This window comes from Homo sapiens, chromosome 9 (genome assembly GCF_000001405.40).
Source record: "Homo sapiens chromosome 9, GRCh38.p14 Primary Assembly".
Lineage (NCBI taxonomy): Eukaryota > Metazoa > Chordata > Mammalia > Primates > Hominidae > Homo > Homo sapiens.
Genome location: NC_000009.12, coordinates 136,509,287 through 136,533,070, shown reverse-complemented (window position 1 = coordinate 136,533,070; position 23,784 = coordinate 136,509,287). Strand labels below are relative to the sequence as shown.

The following is a 23,784-nucleotide window of genomic DNA, read 5'->3' as shown; positions in this document are numbered from 1 at the left end:
CTCAGGCCGTGGCGAGGTCCTGTCCTGGGCCTCCAGGGTCTGGCCCAGCACAGAGCTCTGCAGCTCTCTGGTGGACGGGCCTGGCTGGGCTGTCGGCAGCCCTGGGGCCAGGTGGGCAGTGGGAATGGAGGTGGAGGCAGGTGGGTGGCTGCAGGTGACTGGAAGGCTTGGCTCCAGCCTGCAGGGGCTGCAGTCCAGGCCGGCCACCCCCACGAGACCTTCCCCCTTCCAGGTGTGGGGTGGCACTGGGTCAACAACACAGGCCACGGACTTCTTTCCCCCACGTGGGCCGTGCGACCCCGGGCCGCCACCACCTCTCTGAGCTCCCCTCCTCCTTAGGAGATGGGAAGCGGCTGGGGCCATGAAGTGTCCCCCAGGGCTCCTGACAGCCCCAGCTGCCGTCCTCGTGGCTGGGCGACTGCCGCGAATTGTTGCGCCTTCTTTTGAGTTGGCTACGGAGTCATGGCGGCTGTGGGAGGTGTAGCTGGGTCTCGGGCGGCACGCCCGGCTCCCCCGGGGATGTGTCATCTGTGTCATCCACCCTGGAGCCCCTTCCTGGTGCTGTGGGGGCCCCTCCAGGAAGGTCTCTCCCAGAGGCCAGCCACAGGCTCTGGGGAGACTGTGTGGGATTTGCATGCAGTTGTGTGCTATTTGATCGAGGTCATGTGTGGGATTTGGGCGAGGTCCTGCGGGATTGGGTGAGGTAGTGCGAGATCTTTGGGCGAGGCCGCGAGGCACTGGGCGAGGCTGGGCATTATTCAGTGCCTTGGAGGGGCAGAAGTTTTAGGACCTGCCAAGTCCAGCCCAAGAATCCCCAACTTTCCCCACAGGGAAAGGTACCCCAGACAGTCCCCAGCCTGTGCCAGCTGTCTTGGGACACCCTGGTGTCCCCCAGGTTGTGGCACTGCAGGCCCCTCCCCCAGGTGCCCCTCCTTATGGGCCCCTCCCAGGGCTGCAGGCACCTGCCTGGATCCCACTTCCCAAGTGTGGGGTAATCCCAGGCGCCCGGTGATCACGCTGGGCCCGGGCAGAGTGAGGCTCTGAGGGGGTGCCAGGGGCACAGTGGGCCAGTATGTGAGCCGGGCTGGGCGCTGGGACTGGGCCGGCAGGCGAGCGGTGTTCCGAGAGGAGGATTCCTGGGCTCGGAGGCCCCTCTGTGCCTCGTGTGGTCAGAGAGCAGGGAGCCGGCGGGTGTGATGGGGATGAGGTGACCTCTGGGGCCACCACTGAAGCCGCCGTCCATCTGCGGCCGAATCGGGAGGCACACAGAGGTGTCCTGGTGGTTTCCCGGGACAGGCGGGAGGAGGCGCAGGAGGGCGGCGTCTGCCCCCGGGATGCCAGGAGTGCTCCTCCGGCAGCGTGGGCTTCGGCTTCGTCCCTCTTTCACCAGTGCCGACGCCCCGCGGGTGCTGTGGGTGAAGGGGCATCGGTGCCCTCCTGCTGGGCGGGAGGAAGGAAGGGGAGCGGGAGGCTGGGTCTCTCTCGCCCAGGGCTCTGCCCCCACCACCCTAGGGTTTTGTGTTTCGGTGGAGCTGTAAGAATGCTTTGTCTGCTCCAGACTTCCCGGTCCTGGGAGATCAGGTGGTCAGGCAAAACATCCAGACCGTCTGGGTGGGGCTGGGGGTGCGGGGGACACGCGCCTTCCTCCTCTTTCCCAGGGAGCTTCTGCCACTCCTGTGCCACCCTGGGGAGCTGCCTTGCCCTGCCCCGCTCTGGTCCCCATCAGCAGGTGTGGTTCTGAGCTGCCTTCAGATCCGGGTGGTGTGCTGGGCATAGCTGCCCCGTTTTCTCACCTGTGAAATGGGCCCATTACACGCCCCCAGGGCGGTTGTGGGGGTCCCATGAGACAGAGCTTGGAAAGCCCGAGTGTAGGTCAGGCCAGGAGGGTTGTGGGCTCAGTTTCTTCACTGCTGGGCTGGTGTGTGCCGGACAGATGTCTCGGGATCCCTTCCCTCCCTGCAGCATTCTTAACAAGGACGCTGGACATGGAGTCAGCACCTCCGGGCGACTGCCCTGCTGGCTGTGGGGCTCACTCCAGAGGAGAACAGGAGCCCCTCCGGGGAGCCCCTTCCTGCCACCCCCAGCGACAGGATCTGTTCAGGAGCAGTGGTGGGAGGTTGCCAGAAGCATGTCTGGCGCTGGCCCGGAGCGCAGCCTGTGATGCCCGACTTCATTCATGGAGTGTGGTTTGAGCCCTCCAGCAGCGCTGCTGTGGGCCTGTCCATTGCCTTCCCTGCCTCTGAGCCATCGTGGGGTGCAGGGCTGGGCTGGGTCTTCTTGGGAGCAGAGCCCCGGCGTGTCATGACCATCTTGGCCTCTCCAACTCAAGAGGTTTGTCCACATGGGTCCCTAGGGGCCGTTGGGGTGACCCAGGGCAGGAGACACATGCCTGCTTTTGGGGGATCCGCGTGGGAAATTCCCGCAGTGGAGCAGCAGGTGGGGCTCCAGCAGGCGTTTTTCACACTCCAAACAGCCTGCGGGGGCACTTTGGTGACACCTAGTTCCTGGGGTCTCAGAGCCTGCTGGGCTGTGTCTTGGCATTTTGGGGAGGGGCTGGCCACATGCCCCCAGAGTGGCCACCCCAGCTCCGCCATCTCCACGGGCCTTCTGTCGGTCAGATGCAGACAGCCGTTCCCATGTCGGGTGAGGGCATTGTTTTCCCGGCTGCGGGAAAGGTAGCTTCCCGGGAGGACAGGTTCTGTCCCCATCCCGCCTCCCACACAAAGGGTTTCCCCGGAGCCAGAGGAGGAAACCTGGCCTTCCTGCACTTCCTCCTTCGCACATTTTAAACCATCCGAGGATGCAACTGGGGGAAAAGATTTGCAGACAAAAGAGCTGGGGGTGCCGGCAACAGCTGTTTGGGCCGGAAAGCCTGGCCCCGGCTCAGACCCCGGCTGGGTCCCTGCGCTGTGGCGGGCCGGCCGCGACCCCCGCCCCACCCAACTCCGCCCCCTGCTGCCCGCTGTCTCCGGAGCGGCGGCTGTTTGGGGCTGGCTCCTTTTCTGGGCCCCCACCTCCCTGAAGCCCCCACTGCCCCTTTCCTCCTTCCTGGGGCCCTGGGAGCCAGGGCAGGGCCCCCGTGCAGCTTTCAGCAGCTCCAGCCCAACGGCTGCAGGCGCTGGGGAAGACCACAGCTCAGGTGGGACCGCAGGTGGTGGCTGGAGGCAGCCATCCCACATCGCAGCCCCCAATCTCGTGGTTTTGTGCTCCAACGGTGAACAGGCCTGGTGGTGCTGGGCTGTCGTGGGCCCCTTGGCCCCCTCGGTGCCTGCATCCCTCTCTCCTGTCCAAGATGGGGAAGGAAGCCGGGAGCAGAAAGGGAAGAAAGACCCAGCGGCTGCAGGGCGCCTTTCAGGGCCTCCTAGCCACCGCAGAGGCTCCAGCCAGCTGTTTGAACAGGGGTTGGGACACAGGGTCCTGGCAGGTTTGAGGAGCCCGGGGCCTTCCTTGCTATAGCTCTTTGTTCTGGGGGATTTGGGGAGGCCAGGGAAGGGGCTGTGAGCAACGAGGTTCCAGCATCTTCCCAAGCCTCCTCCATCCCCCAGGGCTGGGCTGCTTGGCCGTTCCAGTGGGAGAGGACCCGAGGTGGGACCCCGAGCCCCCTGCCCAGCTCATTTCTTAGCAGCCGGTGCCTCCTGGAAGGTGGGTGGTGCCCACTGGGATTGGGGAAACTTGGTCTAGCCTCTACCCAAGGGAGGGGCTGAGGTCCCAGGACTCCCCCTGCCCCAGAAGCCTTGGTCCGGGCTAGAGCTGGGCTCGTTGGCCTCATGGAAGCCTGCCTTGGGAAGCATCCCCACCCAGGTCTGGCCTTGTCTCCCCGTCTCCAGTAGGGGGTCACAGTGTCCCCCCAGCCAGTCCACATATGGCCCCATTTGCTTGGGCAGGCCGATGGGTGGGCCTGTCTGTGTGGCCCAGGTCACCTGGTGGGGCCCACTGTCAGTGGCGTAGGTAGAAGGTGGTCAGCCTTGCTGGGTCTTAGCAGAGCACGGCAGGATCTGGGTCTGGGGAGGGCGTGGGGGTGCCCCTGCCATCACAGGAGCAGGCAGAGTGGGAGCCCTAGACTCCCCTCTGGGCAGAAAGCCCCTTGAGGCTGGGGGCAGGTCCTGCTGGTGAGGGAGGGGTCCCAGGGGCAGGGGCACCCTCAGGCTGGCCGCCTAGCGATTGGCTCCTGCAGGACGTGGCCACGGGCTCCCTGGGAGCAGCAGCTGTTGGGGGTGTCTGGGGAGAAGACCCCCATTTATTGCCCTGTGAGGGACCACACTGCTGCCAGGGGACCCTTGGGCTTCTGTGGCAGGACAGTGGGCCGGGATTGGCAGTGAGGCCCAAGGAGGGCAGGTGGGGCTGGACCTGTGGCTCTGCTGGGGAGCAGGTGGGATGTGTTAAGATGCTGATTTCAGCCGGGCAGCTCCTCCCCTTCCCTTCCCAGGGAGCCGGGGTGTGCAGGGCCGTTCCTTCCCCTCTGGGAAGTGCAGCTCCTGTGCACCGGAGAGGCCCCCGCACTGTCCCTGCCCGTCCCACCAACTGTCCCTGCCCGTCCCTCCACTGTCCCTGCCCATCCCCCTCACTGTCCCTGCCCATTCCCCGCACTGTCCCTGCTCATCCCCAACACTGTCCCTGCCCATCCCCCCCTCACCGTCCCTGCCCATCCCCCCCGCACTGTCCCTGCCCATCCCCCCCCACTGTCCCTGCCCATCCTTGCCTTGGGAGGTGCTGTCACCTGGTGGAGCCATGGGAAGCACCTCTCCCACCCAGGGTCTCTGGTTCCTGTGGCGGGTGCAGAGCCAGCCACATCACTGACACCCCAGCTGGGTTGGGTCCAGCTGACCCCACACCCCCACCCCTCTGCTCGGCCTCTGCCTGTGCCCCCATCCCTGGCCCTGCATGACCATAAACTCCTTGAGGGCAGGAAGTGAGTGAGTCCTACCCGCACTGAGTCCCTCTCACCCCTCCTTCTCATTTTGGGGCGGAGGGAACTGTCTTCTGTCCCCTGGGGGTGGCAGATGGCCGCTTAGCTTAGAAAGGAAAACAGCACAATTTAGAATTCGTCCTGGGTGAAAGGTCTCGGCAGCATCTGCCTCCTGCTGCTTTCTGGAGTCGCATTTCCATGGAGCGGCCCTGGCAGGGAGGGTGGGAGTGGCACAGTGGAAATACTGAGGCGGGAACAAAGTGGTGGCGGTAGAGGTGGCGGGAGCGGCACAGCAGGCGCCGGGGCCACTTGGCACCCTCCCCCCGCAGCCCTCCTGGAGTCCCCGCCCGCCGCTCACCTGCGGGGGGCCCAGATAGGACAGGTTACCCCAGCGCCGCCAGGCCACTGAGCGTGGGGGATGGGACAGGCAGGTGCCGGGTGACCCTAAGAGGGACGCACGGAAGGGGAGTCCACGGGGGCACACCTGGCGTGGGTTGGGTCTCCTCCGTGGGAGCCCGAGAGCTGGGTGGCTTGGTGGACAGGGCAGCTCTCTCGTCCAGTCGGGGGAGACTGGCGTTCCCTATCTCAAGCCTCACTTTTTAGCCCCAGAGGGGTCTCCCCACCGCCCCTGATAGGAGGAGATGCGGGGACGGTGGAAGGTGGGGTGCGGGTCACTCATGGAAGCCCTGAGGATCCCCGTGGGCGCGGCAGCTGTTGGGTGCCACCTCACTCGGCCAAGCCCTGGCGCCCACCTCGCGGCCCACACCCACCTGGCCGCCGGGACAGCATTGAAGACAGAGTGGCCCGGGTACCGGGGGTGTGGCCAGCGCCAAAGCTGTGAAGGATTTGCTCACAGGCTGGTGGTCCTGGCCATGGCCATGCTGCAGGCCTGAGGTCCCTCCCACCTTCTCAGGGACGTCTGGGTGCTGTGCGGAGGGCAGGTGTTCGCCGTCTGTAGGGTGCTCCAGCTCTGTGGCCATGTGGGAGAGAGGTACAGACTGGGGCGGGCACAGGCTGGAGGCTGCCCACAGCAGCAGCGGGAGACTGGGCCCAAAGCTGCCCCCCACACACAGACCCCCACACCTGGCTCAAAACTTTCTCCAGGCTCGGCCCGGTTCCCCCCAGCTAGCGCGTCTCACGGAACCTCCAAGCCGTGGCTGTGGGGCCGTGGCAGGGGCCTTCCCTGTGGTGTCCGATGCCCAGGCTGGGAGTGGGGGCGGACAATGGGCCCTCTCAGCCTGCATTCCCCCACGGGAGCCTCCTCAGGCCTCCGGCTGGGGCTCCTGCCCCACCCGCTGGGAGCAGCTGCCGCCACGTCTGACACCTGCTCCCAGCCGCCCTTTGTCCGAGCACCGACGCCTGATTTATGGGGCGTGTTTTCCTCTTGCTGGCCCGGCGTGATACAGCCTCGTTAACTGGGATGCGTCCGGTTGGGCAGATTCTCCCACAGTCCTCCACGTTGGGGTCCGCGCTCAGGGTGGGGAGTGGGGCCCGGTGTCCGGGCAGAGTGTCGTGGTCCATTCAGGGACAGCCAATGTCCTGTGACCTCAGGGCACTTGGTGGGAGACTGCTCTAGGGGCTCGGACCTCCAGCGTCTCCCCTCTGGGGTCCCCTAAAGCTGTGGGATGGGCCTCCCCTGCCCCTCCTCCCCGTCTTGCCCAGCAGGTGAGCTTTTCCCGCTCCTTGGAGCCTCGAGGGGCCGGGAGGCAGGGGACCAGCTTGCATGGGCCAGGCTGAGGAGCCTCCAGCCCCGGCTTTGATGACCGAGCGCCCTCTGTCCTGTACCCACCCCCTGCCGACTTCAGCGGCTGGGAAAGCAAAAAGGGCCTTTTCTCCAAGCGGGAGCTGTGGCCAACTCCCGCCTGACAATGGGGCATTTATGTGGAGGGAGGGCGCCCCTCCTGTGGCCACAGCCCAGCCCAGCCCAGCCTGTGCACTCCACGGGTTCCCAGCGGCCGCTCCACCTCGGGGACCGGCCAGCCTGTAACTGGATCTGCATGCAGTGGGAACCACGTCTGCCCTCCCAACAGGTGCCCGCAGAGGCAGGTCTGTCGCTGCAGCCCCGGAGTGACCGGCCACATGGGATGGAGGAGGGGGAGCCTCATTCCGGGGCTGTGCCCGTCGCTCACTGGGCTGGCAGGAGCCGTAGCAAGGCCTGAGTGAATTCCCCAGAGCCCCTTTGGAAGGGGTGACATGTGTTTTCTTTAAGCCAGTTGGTTTGGGACTTTTGGCTTCTGGCAACAGATGGTCGGCCAGAGTGGCCCTTTTGCGTTCTCTCTACCCAAGCCGTGGTCACGGGTAAAAGCCTTCGGGGAAGACAGATGCCTCCCGGGCCTTTGGGACAGGGGCGTGGCTGGCTGCTGAGAAACGCACAGGAACCCCCACCCCCAGCCTCCACAAGCCCCTCGGGGTAAGGCCCCCCCAGGCCACTGCCACACATAGCACAGGTTTGATTGGAGACACTGGGGTGGGAATAAGCGGGAGAGGAGGCGAGGACTTGGGGGGCCGGTGGGGGTCCTGTGGGAAGCCGGCAGCTTCAGGGCCGGTCCTGGGGCAGGCGGCCGCCGCAGCCCCGCACCCAGGTGGGCTCCGGAAGGCGGGACGGTTCCCTCTGTACATCCCATCTGGAGGAGGCCATGCCCACCCAGGGCCTGAGCCGTGAGGCTGCTGCCTTCCCGGGCCGCTGGGGCCGCTGAGGCTGGTGGCATGTTCTGCTTCAGAGGCTTCACCACTGGGAAGAGCGGCGCCCGGCGGGTCCCAGACCTTTTCCCGGAGCGCAAGGCCAGGAGGTGACTGGGGCCGGAGATTTATGACCACAGCAGGTGGCTGGGGGGGGCAGGCTCTGCGCCTGTTGCCGCAGGGAACAGGTGAGACCAGGCCTGGGTGGAGATGCAGGACCCCTCCCCTGGCTCCCCTTGTTCTCTCTGAGCCCAGACTGTGTGTCCGGGGTGAGGGGCAGCCTTTCACCCACCTTGACGGGGTTGCAGAGACCTGGCAGAGGGACCTCCTCCTGGCACCTTGGTTTCCCCGGCTGTAATGTGGGTGCTTCTGCTCCTGGCTGATGTGCCTGGATGTGAGTTATGAAGACTCAATGCCGAAAGGGAAACGTGTCTGGGGGCTGAGCGTGGGCAGGGAACGGGCCAGCCTTCATCCCCAGTGCGATCTTGACATGAGATGTCCCATCCCCATTGCAGTCTCAGCCTGAGGTGTCCCATCAGAAAGGCTTCCTGGCCGGGCGCGGTGGCTTACGCCTGTAATCCCAGCACTTTGGGAGGCCGAGGCGGGCAGATCACGAGGTCAAGAGATCAAGACCAGCCTGGCCAACATGGTGAAACCCTGTCTCTACTAAAAATACAAAAATTAGCTGGGCATGGTGTCAGGTGCCTGTAGTCCCAGCTACTCGGGAGGCTGAGGCAGGAGAATCGCTTGAACCTGGGAGGCAGAGGTTGCAGTGAGCCTAGATCGCGCCCCTGCACTCCAGCCTGGGCAACAGAGCAAGACTCAAAAAAAAAAAAAAAAAAAAAAGAAAAGAAAAAGAAAGGCTTCCACGTAGGAAGGGGCTGATCCACACTTTCCGTGGCTGCCATCATGTTGACACCTGAAGGTTGGAAAAACCACGGCCTTTGTTACTGCCCAAGCAATGCCTGTTCGCTTTAGCAAAGCTGGGAAGAAAAGCAGATAGGCCTGCAGACCCGGAGGCTCTACGGAGCTAATGCACCCGGCTCCTCTCCATGGCTCTCCGCGGGTGTAGACCCAGACCCCTGCCCGGGCTGTGGAGTCCAAGCTGGGTTCTGCTGGAACATCCTAGTCTCTAGCTTGTTCCCCAAGTTAGCAGTCATTTGTCTTCTTCTTTCTTTCTTTTTTTGAGTCTTGCTCTGTCACCCAGGCTGGAGTGCAGTGGCGTGATCTCGGCTCACTGCAACCTCTGCCTCCTGGGTTCAAGTGATTCTCCTGCTTCAGCCTCATTCAGTGGCATTCAGTACATTCCCAAAGTTGTGCAATCGCGGCATGTGTCTGGTTCCAGAACATTTTATCAGCCCTAAGGGAACCCCGCTAAGCAGCCGTTGTGCCCGTGCCCGGGGTGTGGGGGGAGGCGGCTGTGCCCATGACAGGTTCCCGGTGCTGAGTGGCGGGGGCGCTGGGGAAGCAGGTGGGAACTAACTGCCCTGGCACATCTGCCAACAGCTGTGGCGGGGCCTTCGTGGGCCCGCGATGCCAGGACCCCAACCCGTGCCTCAGCACCCCCTGCAAGAACGCCGGGACATGCCACGTGGTGGACCGCAGAGGCGTGGCAGACTATGCCTGCAGCTGTGCCCTGGGCTTCTCTGGGCCCCTCTGCCTGACACCCCTGGACAATGCCTGCCTCACCAACCCCTGCCGCAACGGGGGCACCTGCGACCTGCTCACGCTGACGGAGTACAAGTGCCGCTGCCCGCCCGGCTGGTCAGGTGAGGGAGGACCCACAGCCTGAGGGGTGGGCAGACCCAGGCCCGCCGCCAGCTGCCCAGGCAACTTGAGGTACTTGGCGGGATCCAGGCCCGGGTCTCTGACCCGGAAGTAATTGGGAGCCCCTGCCCCAGGGTCCCTGCCCCCCTCCCAGACCTGGAATCGCCTCGTTTTCAGCTGCTTGCTCTGGCCCAACTCTTGCTGTCCCCGCTTCTGCGAGACAAGGGGAGCCTCTGTGTCCAGGCCGCCCCTGCCCCCTTCCTCCTGCCGTGCACTGGCCCTCACCTGTTAGGGTGAAGGGTGTCTGGAGGTGTCAGCTCTGGGAAGAGACGGCCCAGGCTCAGGCCTCTTGGGAGCTGTGGTCCTTCATCTGCCAAAGGCGACCGGTCTCACGGCAGGTCCTGAGGATCAAATGTGATAGCACCTAAGGTGGAGCCCAGGCTGGCACCTCCAGGTGGCCTGAAGGGAGGGAAGGCCCGGCCTCGGGGAGCAGTGAGGCCAGCACGACCCTCTTGTCCCCTTGTCTCCAGGGAAATCGTGCCAGCAGGCTGACCCGTGCGCCTCCAACCCCTGCGCCAACGGTGGCCAGTGCCTGCCCTTCGAGGCCTCCTACATCTGCCACTGCCCACCCAGCTTCCATGGCCCCACCTGCCGGCAGGATGTCAACGAGTGTGGCCAGAAGCCCGGGCTTTGCCGCCACGGAGGCACCTGCCACAACGAGGTCGGCTCCTACCGCTGCGTCTGCCGCGCCACCCACACTGGCCCCAACTGCGAGCGGCCCTACGTGCCCTGCAGCCCCTCGCCCTGCCAGAACGGGGGCACCTGCCGCCCCACGGGCGACGTCACCCACGAGTGTGCCTGCCTGCCAGGTAGTGCTGCCCGCTGGCCGGGGTGCACGAGCCCCTCCCCGGCTGCCAGGCCCAGGGGGTGGGAACGGGGCGCCTGGTGTAGGGGCAGCCCTGGGAGGGCCCATGGCGGGGAGTTGGGAAGGCGGGATGGCGAGTTCCCCAGACTGCGTGTGGTGTCGGGGGGACGCGTCTGGAGCGGGGTGTGCGCTGGGAGGAGGCTTGCACAGGGTCCAGGTGCCAGCCCGTGTCTCTGGAGTTTCCCGGAACTCACATTCGAGCTGTAGGACGCCCTGCCTCCCCCCAGTGCAGGCACCCTGACTTGCGCAACCCCCAGGGTTTCCCCTGCAGTGGGGCTGGGGCCGGAGAGGGCGTGGGAGCTGCGGGGGCACCATCACTTCCCAAGCCATGGCCCTTCCTGCCATCCTGCTGGTCTCCTGCGGGTGTGGGTGACAGGTAGGCGCAGCCGCCTGCCCGTGTCCCCAGTGCTCCCCGATCCCCGTGTTGTACGTAGGAGCCTCTCTGCTGTAGTTCTTGTTTGAGTAAATTTTGCAGCAGCTCTAAAAATAAGGAAGAGTTTTGAAAACCTCCAGTCTCGGCCGCGCGTGGTGGCTCACGCCTGTACTCCCAGCACTTTGGGAGGCCGAGGTGGGCAGATCACAAGGTCAGGAGATGGAGACCATCCTGGCTAACACGGCGAAACCCCGTCTCTACTAAAAATACAAAAAATTAGCCAGGCATGGTGGCACGCGCCTGTAGTCCCAGCTACTCAGGAGGCTGAGGGAGGAGAATCACTTGAACCCGGGAGGCGGAGGTTGCAGTGAGCCGAGATCCCGCCACTGCACTCCAGCCTGGGCGACAGAGCGAGACTCCGTCTCAAAAAAAAAAAAAAAAAAGTGAAGAGAAAAAAGAAAACCTCCAATCTCAGCTGCACAGAATGGCTGTTAGGTGGGAATGGGGAGAGGGCATTCAGGCAGGGGTGGGGCTGGAGGGTGCACAGGGTCCTGGCTGACCCACGGGTGGCCCAAGGGCTGCCCCACCCCCTTGGAAGCCCCAAGCTGGCCTGGCCCCTGCAAAGGGGAAGCTCCCTGGCTGCCCAGTCAGCTGAGCCCAGCCACCTCTGCGTGCAGACACCAGACGTGTGCGTTTCCTGCAAGTCACTGGGCGAGCGTGGGGTGGGGACAGACACTCCCTGGCCAGCTTGGATCTCTGCAGGGTGGGGCGCAGAGCCCTTCTGCTGGTGGGGGCTCAGATGCCTTCCTAGCAGCACGGGACCCTACCTCCAGTCACACGGATTGAGGGGCCAAGCTCTTGGGGGGCCGTGGTTCAGGCTAGGGCAGGTGGGGTGTGTGCGGCCTTGTCCAAGGCCACCTGTGTGCAGAGCTGATGCCCACCCGCCTTGGGCAGGGTGGGTGAGGACCTCCTGGTGAGGCCCAGCGGCAGAGATGCCAGGGGTGCTGGGCCGGCTCAGAGCCACTGCCCGTGCAGGGGCAGCTCAGGGCCCTGGGGAGTGGGCAGGGAGGGAAGGGGAGGGGCTGGTGGGGTTCACTCACTTGAGTGTGGGTAGATCTCAGAGGCTGGGGTGCTGGGGGCTGGGTCACCCGTCCGGTGAGGGGTGTGCTCACTGCCTGCTGTGGAGTCTGGCCGTTTCAGGGTGAGATGACCATCCGGGGGCCTCCCCAAATGACTCAGGCCTGCCAGACCCCAGCTTCAGACTGTCCCCGGCGGCCCCTGCACCCAGGCCCCCTGAAGGGCCCTCAGCCACCTCTGGGTGGTCAGGAGCCCAGGAGACAGCTGTGTGTGGAGTCACGGGGAACCGAGATGGGGGCGGCCCTGAGCTCTGCAGGCCCGGGAACTGGCTGGGATTTGGGGTCGCACAGCCTGCCTGGCACGTCAGCACTGTCTCCTCGTGGGGTCGCTGGCCGAGGCTACGTCGCAGAGGGTCCAGCTGGGGTCCACGGGGCTCTCGCTGGCTTCCCGCCCTCTCCCCCACTGTGTGCCTCAGCCAGTGCTTTGCAGGGCAGCCCTGGGGTCGCAGGCCCAGCCAGGGGCCCCATCTGCCTCGGAGCCGGGGTGCAGGGCCCCACACATGAGTGGGACCGGGACTCAGGCTCCAGGCTCTGAATTTTTTTTTTTTTTTTGAGACAGGTCTCTGTCACTCAGGCTGGAGTACAGTGACGTGCCCTCAGCTCACTGCAGCCTTGACCTCCCAGGCTAAAGCGATCCTTCTGCCTCAGCCCCTCAAGTAGCTTGGGACCACAGGCCGGCGCCACCACGCTTTGCTACTTCTTGTATTTTTTTTTGTAGAGACGGGGTTTCGCCATGTTGTCCAGGCTGGTCTTGAACTCCTGGGCGCAAGCGATCCACCCACTTCAGCCTCCCAAAGTGCCGGGATTCCAGGCGTGAGCCACCGCGCCAGGGCTGGGGTCTGGTTTTGGGTGCTCCCCAAGCTGATTTGCATTTTGGATTTTGGTTGTCTCTGGCTGCCTGCTTTTGCTCCGGTCCAGCAGACAGACAGAACGGACGGGGTGGTGGCGGTGGGGCAATGTCTCAGAGGGAGGGGCCGAGCAGGTGGGAGCTCCAAGGGCAACGGGGGTTCAAAGGCATCTCGGGAGGGCGGCAATTAGTAACCGGCTGCAGGTTTGGCTGTTGCCGAACGCGCCTTTCTGGGTTGATCATTGAACCAGCGGGAGTTGAGTGGATTAATAGCTAACTGGCTGCCTTGGAGGCCTGGGTGGGGCCATACCTCGGGGGAGGGGGCCCTGGCAGCCTGTGGAGGAGGAGGGGGAGGAGGAGGTGGGCACCAGAGCTCTGCCCCAGGGAGGATGGGCCATCTGAATCTCTGCAGCTTCCCTGGGGCTGCGAGGGGCCCACCCTGCCCCAGCCAGCAGCCTGCTGGCCCCATGTCCCCCTGCTGCTCAGAGCCCAGGCCCCAGTGTCAGCCCCTGAAGATGGGGTGTGCGGCCCCCCTGTGGAGACATTGTAGGGAGCTCTGAGCATGCAGGCGGCACCCAGGTGCAGGAGCTGCCGGAACCTCTTAAAAGAGACCCAAGGGTTTTTGTGACAGAATCTTCTGGAACCCTGTGTTCCTGAGTCCCTGTTTAGCCAGTCCTGTCCAAAATGATTCTTTCAAGCAGGGCGTGTCCCTCTGGGCACTGGAGTGAGGCAGGGGACGGGCACAGACCCCGGGGGCCCCAGGGCAGGGCCGTGGAGGCCAGGCTCTTGTGTCCAGAGCAGTGTGTCGGGGGTCCAGGCAGGAGCCGGACTGGACCTCAGGGAAGAGGCTGACCCGGCCCCTCTTGCGGCAGGCTTCACCGGCCAGAACTGTGAGGAAAATATCGACGATTGTCCAGGAAACAACTGCAAGAACGGGGGTGCCTGTGTGGACGGCGTGAACACCTACAACTGCCGCTGCCCGCCAGAGTGGACAGGCGCGTATACGGGTCGCCGCAGGGCGGGGTAGCCGGGGCGGGGCTGCTACCCACTTACTAAACTGCACTCACAGGCATAGCGGGGAGCAGCCGAGACCCTGTCCCAGGCCAGGCAGACTAGGGTTGGCCGAGAAGGACAACATGATGGGGGCCCCACTTCCCGTGGCCAGGGTCTGGTGCCCCTCACCTCGGGGGTCAGCACAGACAGGGCCCTGGTTGGTCTGTGTGGGCCGTTTGCAACCTGGCTCCAGGCAGCCCCTGTGCCCAGTGGGGTGTCCTGGCATTGAGGGCCTTCAGCACCCCACTCAGGCCACGCTTCCTGGGCCAGTCACAGGGATGCCTGGATGAACAGACAGGCCCTGTGTTCGGGAATTACCCTCTGGTGGGGTGACGGGCAAAGGTGCACCCCGACGCAGCAGTGTCCACAGAGCACAAAGAGGAGGCAAGACTCCATGGTGCTGGGCCTGCAGAGGAAGGAGTGATTTAGGCTGGCGGTGGGTGGAGGAGTCAGCCCAGGAAGGCTTCCTGGAGGGGGCGGCATTGCCACCCTGCGTCTTAGGGGACAGGGAGCTCAGGGAGTGGCAGCTGCCCGGGGCCGACAGCTCCTGTTCCCTGCAGGTCAGTACTGTACCGAGGATGTGGACGAGTGCCAGCTGATGCCAAATGCCTGCCAGAACGGCGGGACCTGCCACAACACCCACGGTGGCTACAACTGCGTGTGTGTCAACGGCTGGACTGGTGAGGACTGCAGCGAGAACATTGATGACTGTGCCAGCGCCGCCTGCTTCCACGGCGCCACCTGCCATGACCGTGTGGCCTCCTTCTACTGCGAGTGTCCCCATGGCCGCACAGGTGAGTGCCTTGAGGCCCAGGTGGGCGCAGGGGGCTCACATGGGCCAGGCCTGAGCTGTGTGACCTCACCCAGGGACTGTGGCCCTCCTGCACCCAGGATAACCTGAAAGGGCCTTTCTGGTCAGGGAGGCCGGTGGTCGCTGTGAGTCCCCCGGAACGTCCCAAGTGTCACGGGATGCCCGACGGGGTCACGGCGGGCAGCTCCTCCTGGGGTGTCAGTGGGGTTGGACCCCAGCCGTGGGTGGTGTGCCATGCCTGGCCCAGGGGCCGTGCCCACTGACCGCCGCTGCCTGCCCAGGTCTGCTGTGCCACCTCAACGACGCATGCATCAGCAACCCCTGTAACGAGGGCTCCAACTGCGACACCAACCCTGTCAATGGCAAGGCCATCTGCACCTGCCCCTCGGGGTACACGGGCCCGGCCTGCAGCCAGGACGTGGATGAGTGCTCGCTGGGTAGGTGCCAGCACAGGGGGTGCGGCCAGGTGGGGGTGGCAGCCTGGCCCCAGAACCGATGAGAAGTCGATTCTGGCTTCAGGGGGTGCCCAGTTAGATGGGGGATGGGACCCTGCCAGTCCGATGGGGGTGGTGTGCAGTGAGGTGTTGCAGGGGCCAGGGTGCCTGGAGCAGCCTCTCACCCGTGTGCCCTCGCCAGGTGCCAACCCCTGCGAGCATGCGGGCAAGTGCATCAACACGCTGGGCTCCTTCGAGTGCCAGTGTCTGCAGGGCTACACGGGCCCCCGATGCGAGATCGACGTCAACGAGTGCGTCTCGAACCCGTGCCAGAACGACGCCACCTGCCTGGACCAGATTGGGGAGTTCCAGTGCATCTGCATGCCCGGTGCGTCGGCCGGGGCCAGGGCGGGAAACCGAGTCGAGGCTGGGCAGCCTTGGAGGGGCAGCCCCGGGAACATCTGTGGGTTGCTTCCGCTTTCCCCAGCCTCCATGCCTTCTGGGCCCACAGCCTGCACAGGGCATGGGGAAACTGAGGCCAGGCCACAGGGCCAGCAGAGCACGGGGGCAGTGCTAGGCAGATGAGGGTGCCGGGCCAGGGGCCACGGGCTGCAGGGGAGCGGGTGCGCAGGGGGCCCGTGGTGGCTGGGACACTGGGCTGGAGGCAGGGTTCGTTTCTGTCCCAAGTCCACAGCTGTGCCCAGTGGGGCACTGGGGCCGCGCGTGCCCCCCTCACTGTTGCCCCACCCCACAGGCTACGAGGGTGTGCACTGCGAGGTCAACACAGACGAGTGTGCCAGCAGCCCCTGCCTGCACAATGGCCGCTGCCTGGACAAGATCAATGAGTTCCAGTGCGAGTGCCCCACGGGTGAGGGCCACCCCCGCCCCCTGCCCCCGGGTCGTCTGCACCCTGGCCTCCTGAGGGGTGCCTGGGCGTGGGTTGTGTCCCCTGCCCCCGGGCCATCTGCACCCCGGCCTCCTGAGGGGTGAGGGCCGCCCCCACCCCCTGCCCTCGGGCCGTCCGCACCCCGGCCTCCTGAGGGGTGAGGGCCGTGGGTTGTGTCCCCTGCTCCTGGGCCGTCTGCACCCCGGCCTCCTGAGGGGGGCCTGGCCGTGGATTGTGTCCCCTGCCCCTGGGCCGTCTGCACCCCGGCCTCCTGAGGGGTGCCTGGCCGTAGGTTGTGTCCCCTGCCCCTGGGCCGTCTGCACCCCGGCCTTCTGAGGGGGGCCTGGCCATTGGTTGTGTTCAGATTCCCAGGAGAGCGAGGGTTTTGCCTCATGAGTGGATGGGAGTGTTTTCAGACTTCCCCGAAGGAAGGGCAGGGCCCAGTGGGGAGTGGGAGCTTGCCCAGGGGTCGCGGTGGAGCCCAGGGCCAGGAGATCCTCCTTGATCTGGGTGCAGCCCCTTCTGCCTGGAGAGAAGGGTATACCAGGAGCTGCAGTGCCCAGACAGGGAGGAGGCTCCAGCCTGGCTTTCTGAGGGCTCGATGCTGGGAGGGAGGCCAGCCTGCCCTGTCCTGCCATGTCCCCTGCCCAACGGCACGCCAGCGACAAGGGTATGCAGAGAACCACGTGGGGCAGGTTGGCCTGCAATGGAGATGATGGCTGCCCGGGGCGGACTTGGAGGAACTCTCAGGGGCCTGGGTGAAAGGTGTTTCCATCTGTCCCAGAGCTGGGGGCCGGGGCGCAGAGCCCAGGGAGGCGTTGCCAGCCCAAGCCTAGGCTCCCAAGACATAGATTACCCGTCCCAGACACTGGAGCGAGGGGAGCCCCATTCTCAGCCCGGCTCCACTGTAGCCATAGCAACCCAGTCGGTTTGGGAAAAAGGCCCCTTCTGTGGGAGCGAGGGCGTGTGGTGCTGGGGGAGGGGCTTTGATCCGGGGAGCGGGCAGCGGGAGGCAGGGAGAGCTGGAGCTGGCTGAGCTCAGGCTGAGTGTGCCCTGGGGAGCCCAGCCAGGCGCTCACTGCTGGGGTCTGGCCAGGGGTCCCTGAAGGGCCATAGTGCTGTTGCACATGACTCCCTCCCCTCCCCTCCCCGGCCCCAGGCTTCACTGGGCATCTGTGCCAGTACGATGTGGACGAGTGTGCCAGCACCCCCTGCAAGAATGGTGCCAAGTGCCTGGACGGACCCAACACTTACACCTGTGTGTGCACGGAAGGTGCGGGCTGGCGCCCACCAGCGGGGAGGGACTGGGGACGGGACAGGGCACTCAGGGCAGTGAAACTGACAAGGTCATGGACACCTTGGTCTGGGCCACCTGGTCCAGAGGCCGAGAGCACAGCTCAGCCCCAATCCTGAGTAGGTGGGAATGCCACGCTCGGAGCCCTCCTCAGGTTGGCACAGGTGACCCCAGGTCTGGTCATGGGTGTCCCGGGGGCCGCCAGTCCTAAGTCTTCCTGTGCCCGCCCCTCCCACGGTCCAGGGTACACGGGGACGCACTGCGAGGTGGACATCGATGAGTGCGACCCCGACCCCTGCCACTACGGCTCCTGCAAGGACGGCGTCGCCACCTTCACCTGCCTCTGCCGCCCAGGCTACACGGGCCACCACTGCGAGACCAACATCAACGAGTGCTCCAGCCAGCCCTGCCGCCACGGGGGCACCTGCCAGGACCGCGACAACGCCTACCTCTGCTTCTGCCTGAAGGGGACCACAGGTGGCCGGCCAGGCGGGTGGCCGGCGGGGGGCCAGTGGGCAGGGCGGGCCTGAGGACTGACCGACACGTGCCACCCCTTCAGGACCCAACTGCGAGATCAACCTGGATGACTGTGCCAGCAGCCCCTGCGACTCGGGCACCTGTCTGGACAAGATCGATGGCTACGAGTGTGCCTGTGAGCCGGGCTACACAGGTGAGCGGCCCTGCACGTGGGGGCTGACTGCACTGTGCTCAGAGGTCAAGGTCAGCCACTCTGCCCTGGGGCTGCTGAGGGGTTGGGTGAGGGCTTTGGTGCTGCCCACCTGGGCAGACCGTGGTCTGCAGCAGAGATTGCAGCGGGACCAGGGCTATAACTGGCAGCACGATGGGTCCCCCCGACCCCTCTTGTCTCCGGTCAGAGCTGTCCCAGGCCGTGTTGGCAGAGTGGCCCAGCAGGCCAAGAGGGAGCAGCCAGCCCTGAGGCCAGGCTTAAGTACCTTCTGCCTCTGTGGCTCACCAGCACCTTTGAGCAGGTCCCTCTGCCTCTCTGGGCCTCAGATTCTCATCAGTCAGGGCTGCAGTAGCCCCTGCCCCTGGGGCCCCTGGGAGGATGACTTGAGTGGGCACTGGTGCCCGGGGAGGCTGGCACATGGCACATTGTGATCCAAGATGGTTTCTGACACCTGGAAGGATGTGGCCAGAAGGGTGATCGCCCCGGCTCAACAGACAGGGAAATCGAGGTTGACGTGGGTGGGACCCCCTGGGCGCTGGGCCTCGGAGTCTGACCCGCCCTGCCCTTAGGGAGCATGTGTAACATCAACATCGATGAGTGTGCGGGCAACCCCTGCCACAACGGGGGCACCTGCGAGGACGGCATCAATGGCTTCACCTGCCGCTGCCCCGAGGGCTACCACGACCCCACCTGCCTGTCTGAGGTCAATGAGTGCAACAGCAACCCCTGCGTCCACGGGGCCTGCCGGGACAGCCTCAACGGGTATGCGGCGGGGCCGATCATGGGGACACATCAGTCCTAAACCCTGGGAGCTCTGCTGCCAGGAGGGTGGCACCTGCACAGAGCTTGAGATGGGCCAGAAACGGGCCTCGGACGGGGCTGGGTGGCAGGGAGCTCCCCTCGGGGACGCACATGCCTCTGGGTCCTCAGTCAGACTACAGTCCACACCCAGCAGCTGTGTGCTGCGTGTCCTTGTGGGCTGCATGGTGTGCTCAGGACACAGGCCCACAGTGACCCTGGAACACGTTTCCATGGTAACAGCCGCAAGTGTTTCTGATGCCCATGATGTGCCTGGCAGCACTCTGCCTGGATGGGACCATTTAAATCAGCAGGGACCCCATTGCCCTCATTTGGCGCAGAGAAGGCACGTGCTTTGTTCGGGGCCACACAGCGGGCAAGTGGTGGGGGGCTTTTCGCAGCACCCTACTGCCCTGCACTTGGCATGGTCCCCTCGCTAATGAACCAAACCCCTGCCGCAGTCTTGGGTATGGGAAGCGCTGCGGCCCCCACTTTTTTCTTTATTTTGAGACAGAGCCTTGCTCTGTTGTCCAGGCTGGAGTGCAATGGCATGATCTCAGCTCACTGCAACCTCCACCCCTCAGGTTCAAGTGATTCCCCTGCCTCAGCCTCCCGAGTAGCTGAGATTACAGGCATGTGCCACCACACCTGGCTAATTTTTGTATTTTTAGTATATATGGGGTGGGGGAGTTTCGCCATGTTGGCCAGGCTGATCTTGAACTCCTGGCCTCAAGTGACTCAGCCACCCCCGCCTCCCAAAGTGCTGGGATTACAGGTGTGAGCCACAGCGCCCAGCCTGCCCCCACTAAAGGACTCTGCGAGTCTGAGTGGATGGGCACCTCCGCCAGCCCATAGGGCATTGCAGACCCGGGAGTGCCCAGGCCCCGGCCGTGCTGCTCGGGCCTCCCTCGACCTGCAGTGTGGTCCCCCTTGCAGGTACAAGTGCGACTGTGACCCTGGGTGGAGTGGGACCAACTGTGACATCAACAACAATGAGTGTGAATCCAACCCTTGTGTCAACGGCGGCACCTGCAAAGACATGACCAGTGGCTACGTGTGCACCTGCCGGGAGGGCTTCAGCGGTGAGTGGGCTGCGCGTTTCTCAGTGCAGAGGGCCGCCCTCGAGTCTGGGGAGCTGGAGACACAGGATCGGGACCCAGGTCCAGCCAGCACCATGCATGGTGTCTCCCTCCCGTGGCAAAGCCTTAGCTCCAGGCCTCTGGCTCTTGGAGATGAGGAGGGGCCTGGGGTGGGGAGCAGGCCCAGGGCTGCTGTTGTGGGGCCCTGCCAAGGTGCCTGGGAGTGCTGGACATGCCGAGTGCTGTCCCCTTCCCTCCAGGTCCCAACTGCCAGACCAACATCAACGAGTGTGCGTCCAACCCATGTCTGAACCAGGGCACGTGTATTGACGACGTTGCCGGGTACAAGTGCAACTGCCTGCTGCCCTACACAGGTGAGGGGTGGGTGGGGCCTGTGCTGGAGGGGGCGGGGCCTATGTGGGAGGGGCGGGACCTGTGCTGGAGAGGGCGGAGCCTGTGCTGGAGAGGGTGGGGCCAGGGGTGGGGGCGGCCTGGGAAGCCGTGACTGGAGGGTAAAGTGGTGGCTTTCTTGGGGCGGGGCCTTCCAGAAGGTTCTGCGCCTCACTGAGTGCCTTAGGCCCCTGCAGTATGTGGGCCTTCTCCCGGGGGTGGGGTTGGCAGATTAGCAAAGATACAGGATGCCTGGGAGAAAATTTTCATGCAAGCATGTGTTTTACCTGGCAAGCCTGCCGCAAGACACAGGTAAGATGCAGGTGAATCCTTAGCAGGGCCGGGCCTGGGTCACTGGGCTCCGTGCTCCCGGCGCCCACCCTGCTGGGGTCTCTGGGGGCCGGGCTTCCCCACCCCCGCCAGCCGGACCTGAGGGATTCCTTTGATGGCGGGCTCTCTTTGTGTGAGCGGAACAAGGAGCCCTCTGTTTGGGCTGAGCGGGGAGGGGGATGTTCCCCCAACTGTCCAGCCCCTGCTATGAACCCAGCCAAGGGGATCACAGGAAATGATCTCCTCTAGAAAAGACAAAGAAGAGTCCACAAGCACCGGGGTCCTGGCGCTCCCCAGGAGCGGGCAGAGGGTGCTGCCACGGGGCCTGGTCAGGGAGGGCCTGCCTGGGCCAGGCAGCCGGGCTGGAGGTCCCACGCCTGCGGTTCCCATGACATCCAGCAGCCTGTGGCCAGAACGCTGTTTTCTTTGACCGAAGTTAAGGACCTGGGTTTTCTCTCCTGTGTCAGTCAGTGAGGACCCTCCCTCCACGGCTGGGCGCCCCTGTCCCTTTCAGACACGTCGATCGGGCCGGCAGGAGGAGCGGCGGTGCTGACCCGCTTCCTATCTGCCCGCTTCCTGCTTCCTTTCGCACAATTGTCGGAAACTCTGGCGCAGTTCCTGCCTGCCCGGGTCACCGTGGAAACCAATAGGAAGAGAGGCCCTGGAAAGTCGCCCCAGCAGGCCAGGGAGATAATGGGGGACAGGGAAGATAACGCAGTCCCCACGGCTATAAACAGGAAGCTCGGCCATGGGCTTGTGCAGAAAAAGGCCCTCGGCTGTGCACGTGGTTCCCACATAGCCTTTGCCAGACACCCTGCGTGGCCCTGGAGGTCTCCAGGCCGTGCCCCGTGCCCCGACACGCAGGATGTGCTGGGGGCCTGGGCCTGTCCCCTCCATCGCAGCCCTTGTTTGTTGGCCTCCCGTGATGGGCGTTTGCTGCCTGTGACACGGAGCCCCAGGATTAGTTTCAGGCCTCGGTCTCAGGCCAGGGCCTTTCCTCGTCACCCAGAGATGAGGGGGCTTGCGTCCGGGGTGGGCCCAGGTCCCTGCAGTGTCGTGGAGCCCACCCGACTGAGGCCGCCTCTCCTGGTGCAGTCCTTGTTCCTGGGCACGCCTGGTGGGGTGAGGCCTAGGCTGTGCCCCGCTGCCAACCGGGAATGAGGGGTGGCTTCTGAGCGTGACATTTGTGCAGCTTGTCTTCAGCGTCCCCCCATCTGTGCTCCACTCCTCCCTGGGTCAGGGTCCTGGCACAGCCGGGAGCGCTCAGGGGTCTCGGTGCACATTTGCCTCCCGGCGGGACCAGCAGACGGCACTCTGATGGCGGAAAGACCAGCAGGCGGTGGCCGATTTGGGAGATCCCTCTGGGTGAGGCTCCCGGGGTCACGTGTGTCTCCTTCCCGCAGGTGCCACGTGTGAGGTGGTGCTGGCCCCGTGTGCCCCCAGCCCCTGCAGAAACGGCGGGGAGTGCAGGCAATCCGAGGACTATGAGAGCTTCTCCTGTGTCTGCCCCACGGGCTGGCAAGGTGAGGCTGGCCAGGGCCCGGTGAGGGCTGGGATGGGAGGTCAGGATGTCTGCGGGACACAGGCAGCTCCCAGGCAGGCTAGATGAGTCTTTGAAGAGGAGCTGGTGGGTGCTGAGGAGGCCCTGGTCGGAGAAGTTCTGGAATCAGGAATTGACCTGGGAGCACCGTTCCCAACTCCAGTTCCTGTGACCTTCTTAGGCCAAAATTAGGGGAGAGGGGATGGTCCTGGGGTCACGGAAGCCTACTCCTGGGTCGGGAGAGGCACTGTAGGTGGGTGGGCCAGCCTGGGAAGGGCCTGGAGGGCCAGGGGCCGCTGGTGACCAACCGGCCTCCTCCTGCCCCGCAGGGCAGACCTGTGAGGTCGACATCAACGAGTGCGTTCTGAGCCCGTGCCGGCACGGCGCATCCTGCCAGAACACCCACGGCGGCTACCGCTGCCACTGCCAGGCCGGCTACAGTGGGCGCAACTGCGAGACCGACATCGACGACTGCCGGCCCAGTGAGTAGCCCCGCGGCTCTGGCCTCCTCCAGGAAGCTCTCAGGCCTCAGTTCCCCCGGGCAGGGTTGGTGCGCATGGTGCTGGCCATAAGCACCCAGGGAGGCCGGAGTGTGGCCGGGGAGGGTTGGGTCAGGTGTGGGGGATGTGCTGAGGGATGGCCAGGGTGGTTCAGGAGGGCCCCAGAGCCGGCTTGCTCCTCCCTGCACTTCGCGGAAGAGTCACGAGAGCCCCTCCCACGGCTCTTCACTGAGCCGAGGATGGCTCGGGCCCGGCCTGCACTCCCGCCTGGCTCATCGGGCCCCGCTGCAGGCCAGGGCTCTCAGGCCTCCCAGCCCTGCTTCACAGAGGTTGAGGTTGGCAGAAGCCGGGGGTCTTGCTGGCATCACCTGGCAGGCAGAGGCAAGAACTGTCTCTCCTCCCCTGCTCGGTCTGTGAAGCCTGCAAAGCTGCCCCCTGCCCTGGAGCTTGAGGACAGGAGCAGGTGGGGAGAGAGACCCCAAGCACAGGAGACGGGTGTGACGCAGCCTGTGGGTGCTGGGGCTCCCCACCAGACACCTTTGTCACAGGGCTGCTTGCCGCAGCCTCGGCAACGAAAGGCTGGGCTGTCCCCAGCCATGCAGCCTTCCCGGCCCCCTCCCGCAGGTGTGGGTTTGTGCCTGCCCCTCACACTCACCCTTCCGTCCTCTCCCAGACCCGTGTCACAACGGGGGCTCCTGCACAGACGGCATCAACACGGCCTTCTGCGACTGCCTGCCCGGCTTCCGGGGCACTTTCTGTGAGGAGGACATCAACGAGTGTGCCAGTGACCCCTGCCGCAACGGGGCCAACTGCACGGACTGCGTGGACAGCTACACGTGCACCTGCCCCGCAGGCTTCAGCGGGATCCACTGTGAGAACAACACGCCTGACTGCACAGAGAGGTGTGCGGGGCTCGAGTGAGGCCGTGGAAGGGAACGGGCGGTGCGGGCCACACGCAGTAGCTGGCAGCCTGGCACACCATGCAGGCGTCCGCCTAGGCCGGCTGGGCACTTAGCGCTGGCTGCATTGAGTCCAGACATTGTTCATTGTACCGACCTGTCCCTCCTGAGAGGGCCATTGTGACCTCCTCCTGTGTCCCGCACCAGGAGCGCCGGTAGTCTGTCCTGAAGAACTGGTGCGCTTCCTTCTATTAGACAACGAGAACTCTGTCCGTTCTTGTTTCCTTTTTGCCGTGTTTGCCAGGAAGCTCATTTGGTAAACGTCAGTCTCGTCCCTGGTTTCTGACGTAATTACCTCCCGTGTTACCAGGACGGTTTCTGGTTTCTCCCTCATTTACTTTAACCACCCTATGCCCACGCGTTTGGTAAAACCACTCTCGACCTGACTT

General features: G+C 64.7%; 1 protein-coding gene, 1 long non-coding RNA gene and 1 other non-coding gene across 5 annotated transcripts in view, besides 1 other annotated feature; 2 read left to right on the top strand and 1 right to left on the bottom strand.

Annotated features, from left to right (window-relative positions):
- The window catches only part of NOTCH1 (notch receptor 1), a 51,616-nt gene that overhangs the window by 12,978 nt on the left and 14,854 nt on the right, over window positions 1-23,784 (top strand). Inside the window, exons 3-18 of one of the 2 annotated variants that reach the window (NM_017617.5) lie at window positions 9,092-9,354; window positions 9,883-10,221; window positions 13,506-13,628; window positions 14,247-14,480; window positions 14,779-14,934; window positions 15,134-15,319; window positions 15,686-15,799; window positions 16,977-17,090; window positions 17,355-17,588; window positions 17,671-17,781; window positions 18,369-18,561; window positions 19,534-19,679; window positions 19,937-20,050; window positions 21,800-21,919; window positions 22,266-22,418; window positions 23,110-23,338. In NM_017617.5, coding sequence (NP_060087.3) covers window positions 9,092-9,354; window positions 9,883-10,221; window positions 13,506-13,628; window positions 14,247-14,480; window positions 14,779-14,934; window positions 15,134-15,319; window positions 15,686-15,799; window positions 16,977-17,090; window positions 17,355-17,588; window positions 17,671-17,781; window positions 18,369-18,561; window positions 19,534-19,679; window positions 19,937-20,050; window positions 21,800-21,919; window positions 22,266-22,418; window positions 23,110-23,338 — 2,829 coding nt within the window. The remainder of the gene's footprint in view (window positions 1-9,091; window positions 9,355-9,882; window positions 10,222-13,505; window positions 13,629-14,246; window positions 14,481-14,778; window positions 14,935-15,133; window positions 15,320-15,685; window positions 15,800-16,976; window positions 17,091-17,354; window positions 17,589-17,670; window positions 17,782-18,368; window positions 18,562-19,533; window positions 19,680-19,936; window positions 20,051-21,799; window positions 21,920-22,265; window positions 22,419-23,109; window positions 23,339-23,784) is intronic. The other variant, XM_011518717.3, reaches the window with a different exon arrangement.
- Window positions 5,889-6,760: an enhancer, noted in NCBI's record as "H3K27ac-H3K4me1 hESC enhancer chr9:139420763-139421634 (GRCh37/hg19 assembly coordinates)". NCBI's record gives its function as "activates a minimal SCP1, AML or CMV promoter by ChIP-STARR-seq in naive H9 embryonic stem cells {active_cell/tissue: H9 hESC(naive)}" and the evidence as "EXISTENCE:reporter gene assay evidence [ECO:0000049][PMID:30033119]".
- On the bottom strand, window positions 7,494-23,598 carry LOC124902310 (uncharacterized). Of its 2 annotated transcripts, XR_007061865.1 has the most exons (3): window positions 23,092-23,598; window positions 9,638-9,753; window positions 7,494-7,973 (listed from the first exon to the last, which is right to left on the bottom strand). It is a non-coding gene; the product is annotated as an uncharacterized LOC124902310 (long non-coding RNA). The 2 variants fall into 2 exon arrangements; XR_007061864.1 differs by lacking the exons at window positions 7,494-7,973; window positions 9,638-9,753 and adding an exon at window positions 20,330-22,041.
- On the top strand, window positions 13,445-13,503 carry MIR4673 (microRNA 4673). The gene has a single exon (NR_039820.1). It is a non-coding gene; the product is annotated as a microRNA 4673 (primary transcript).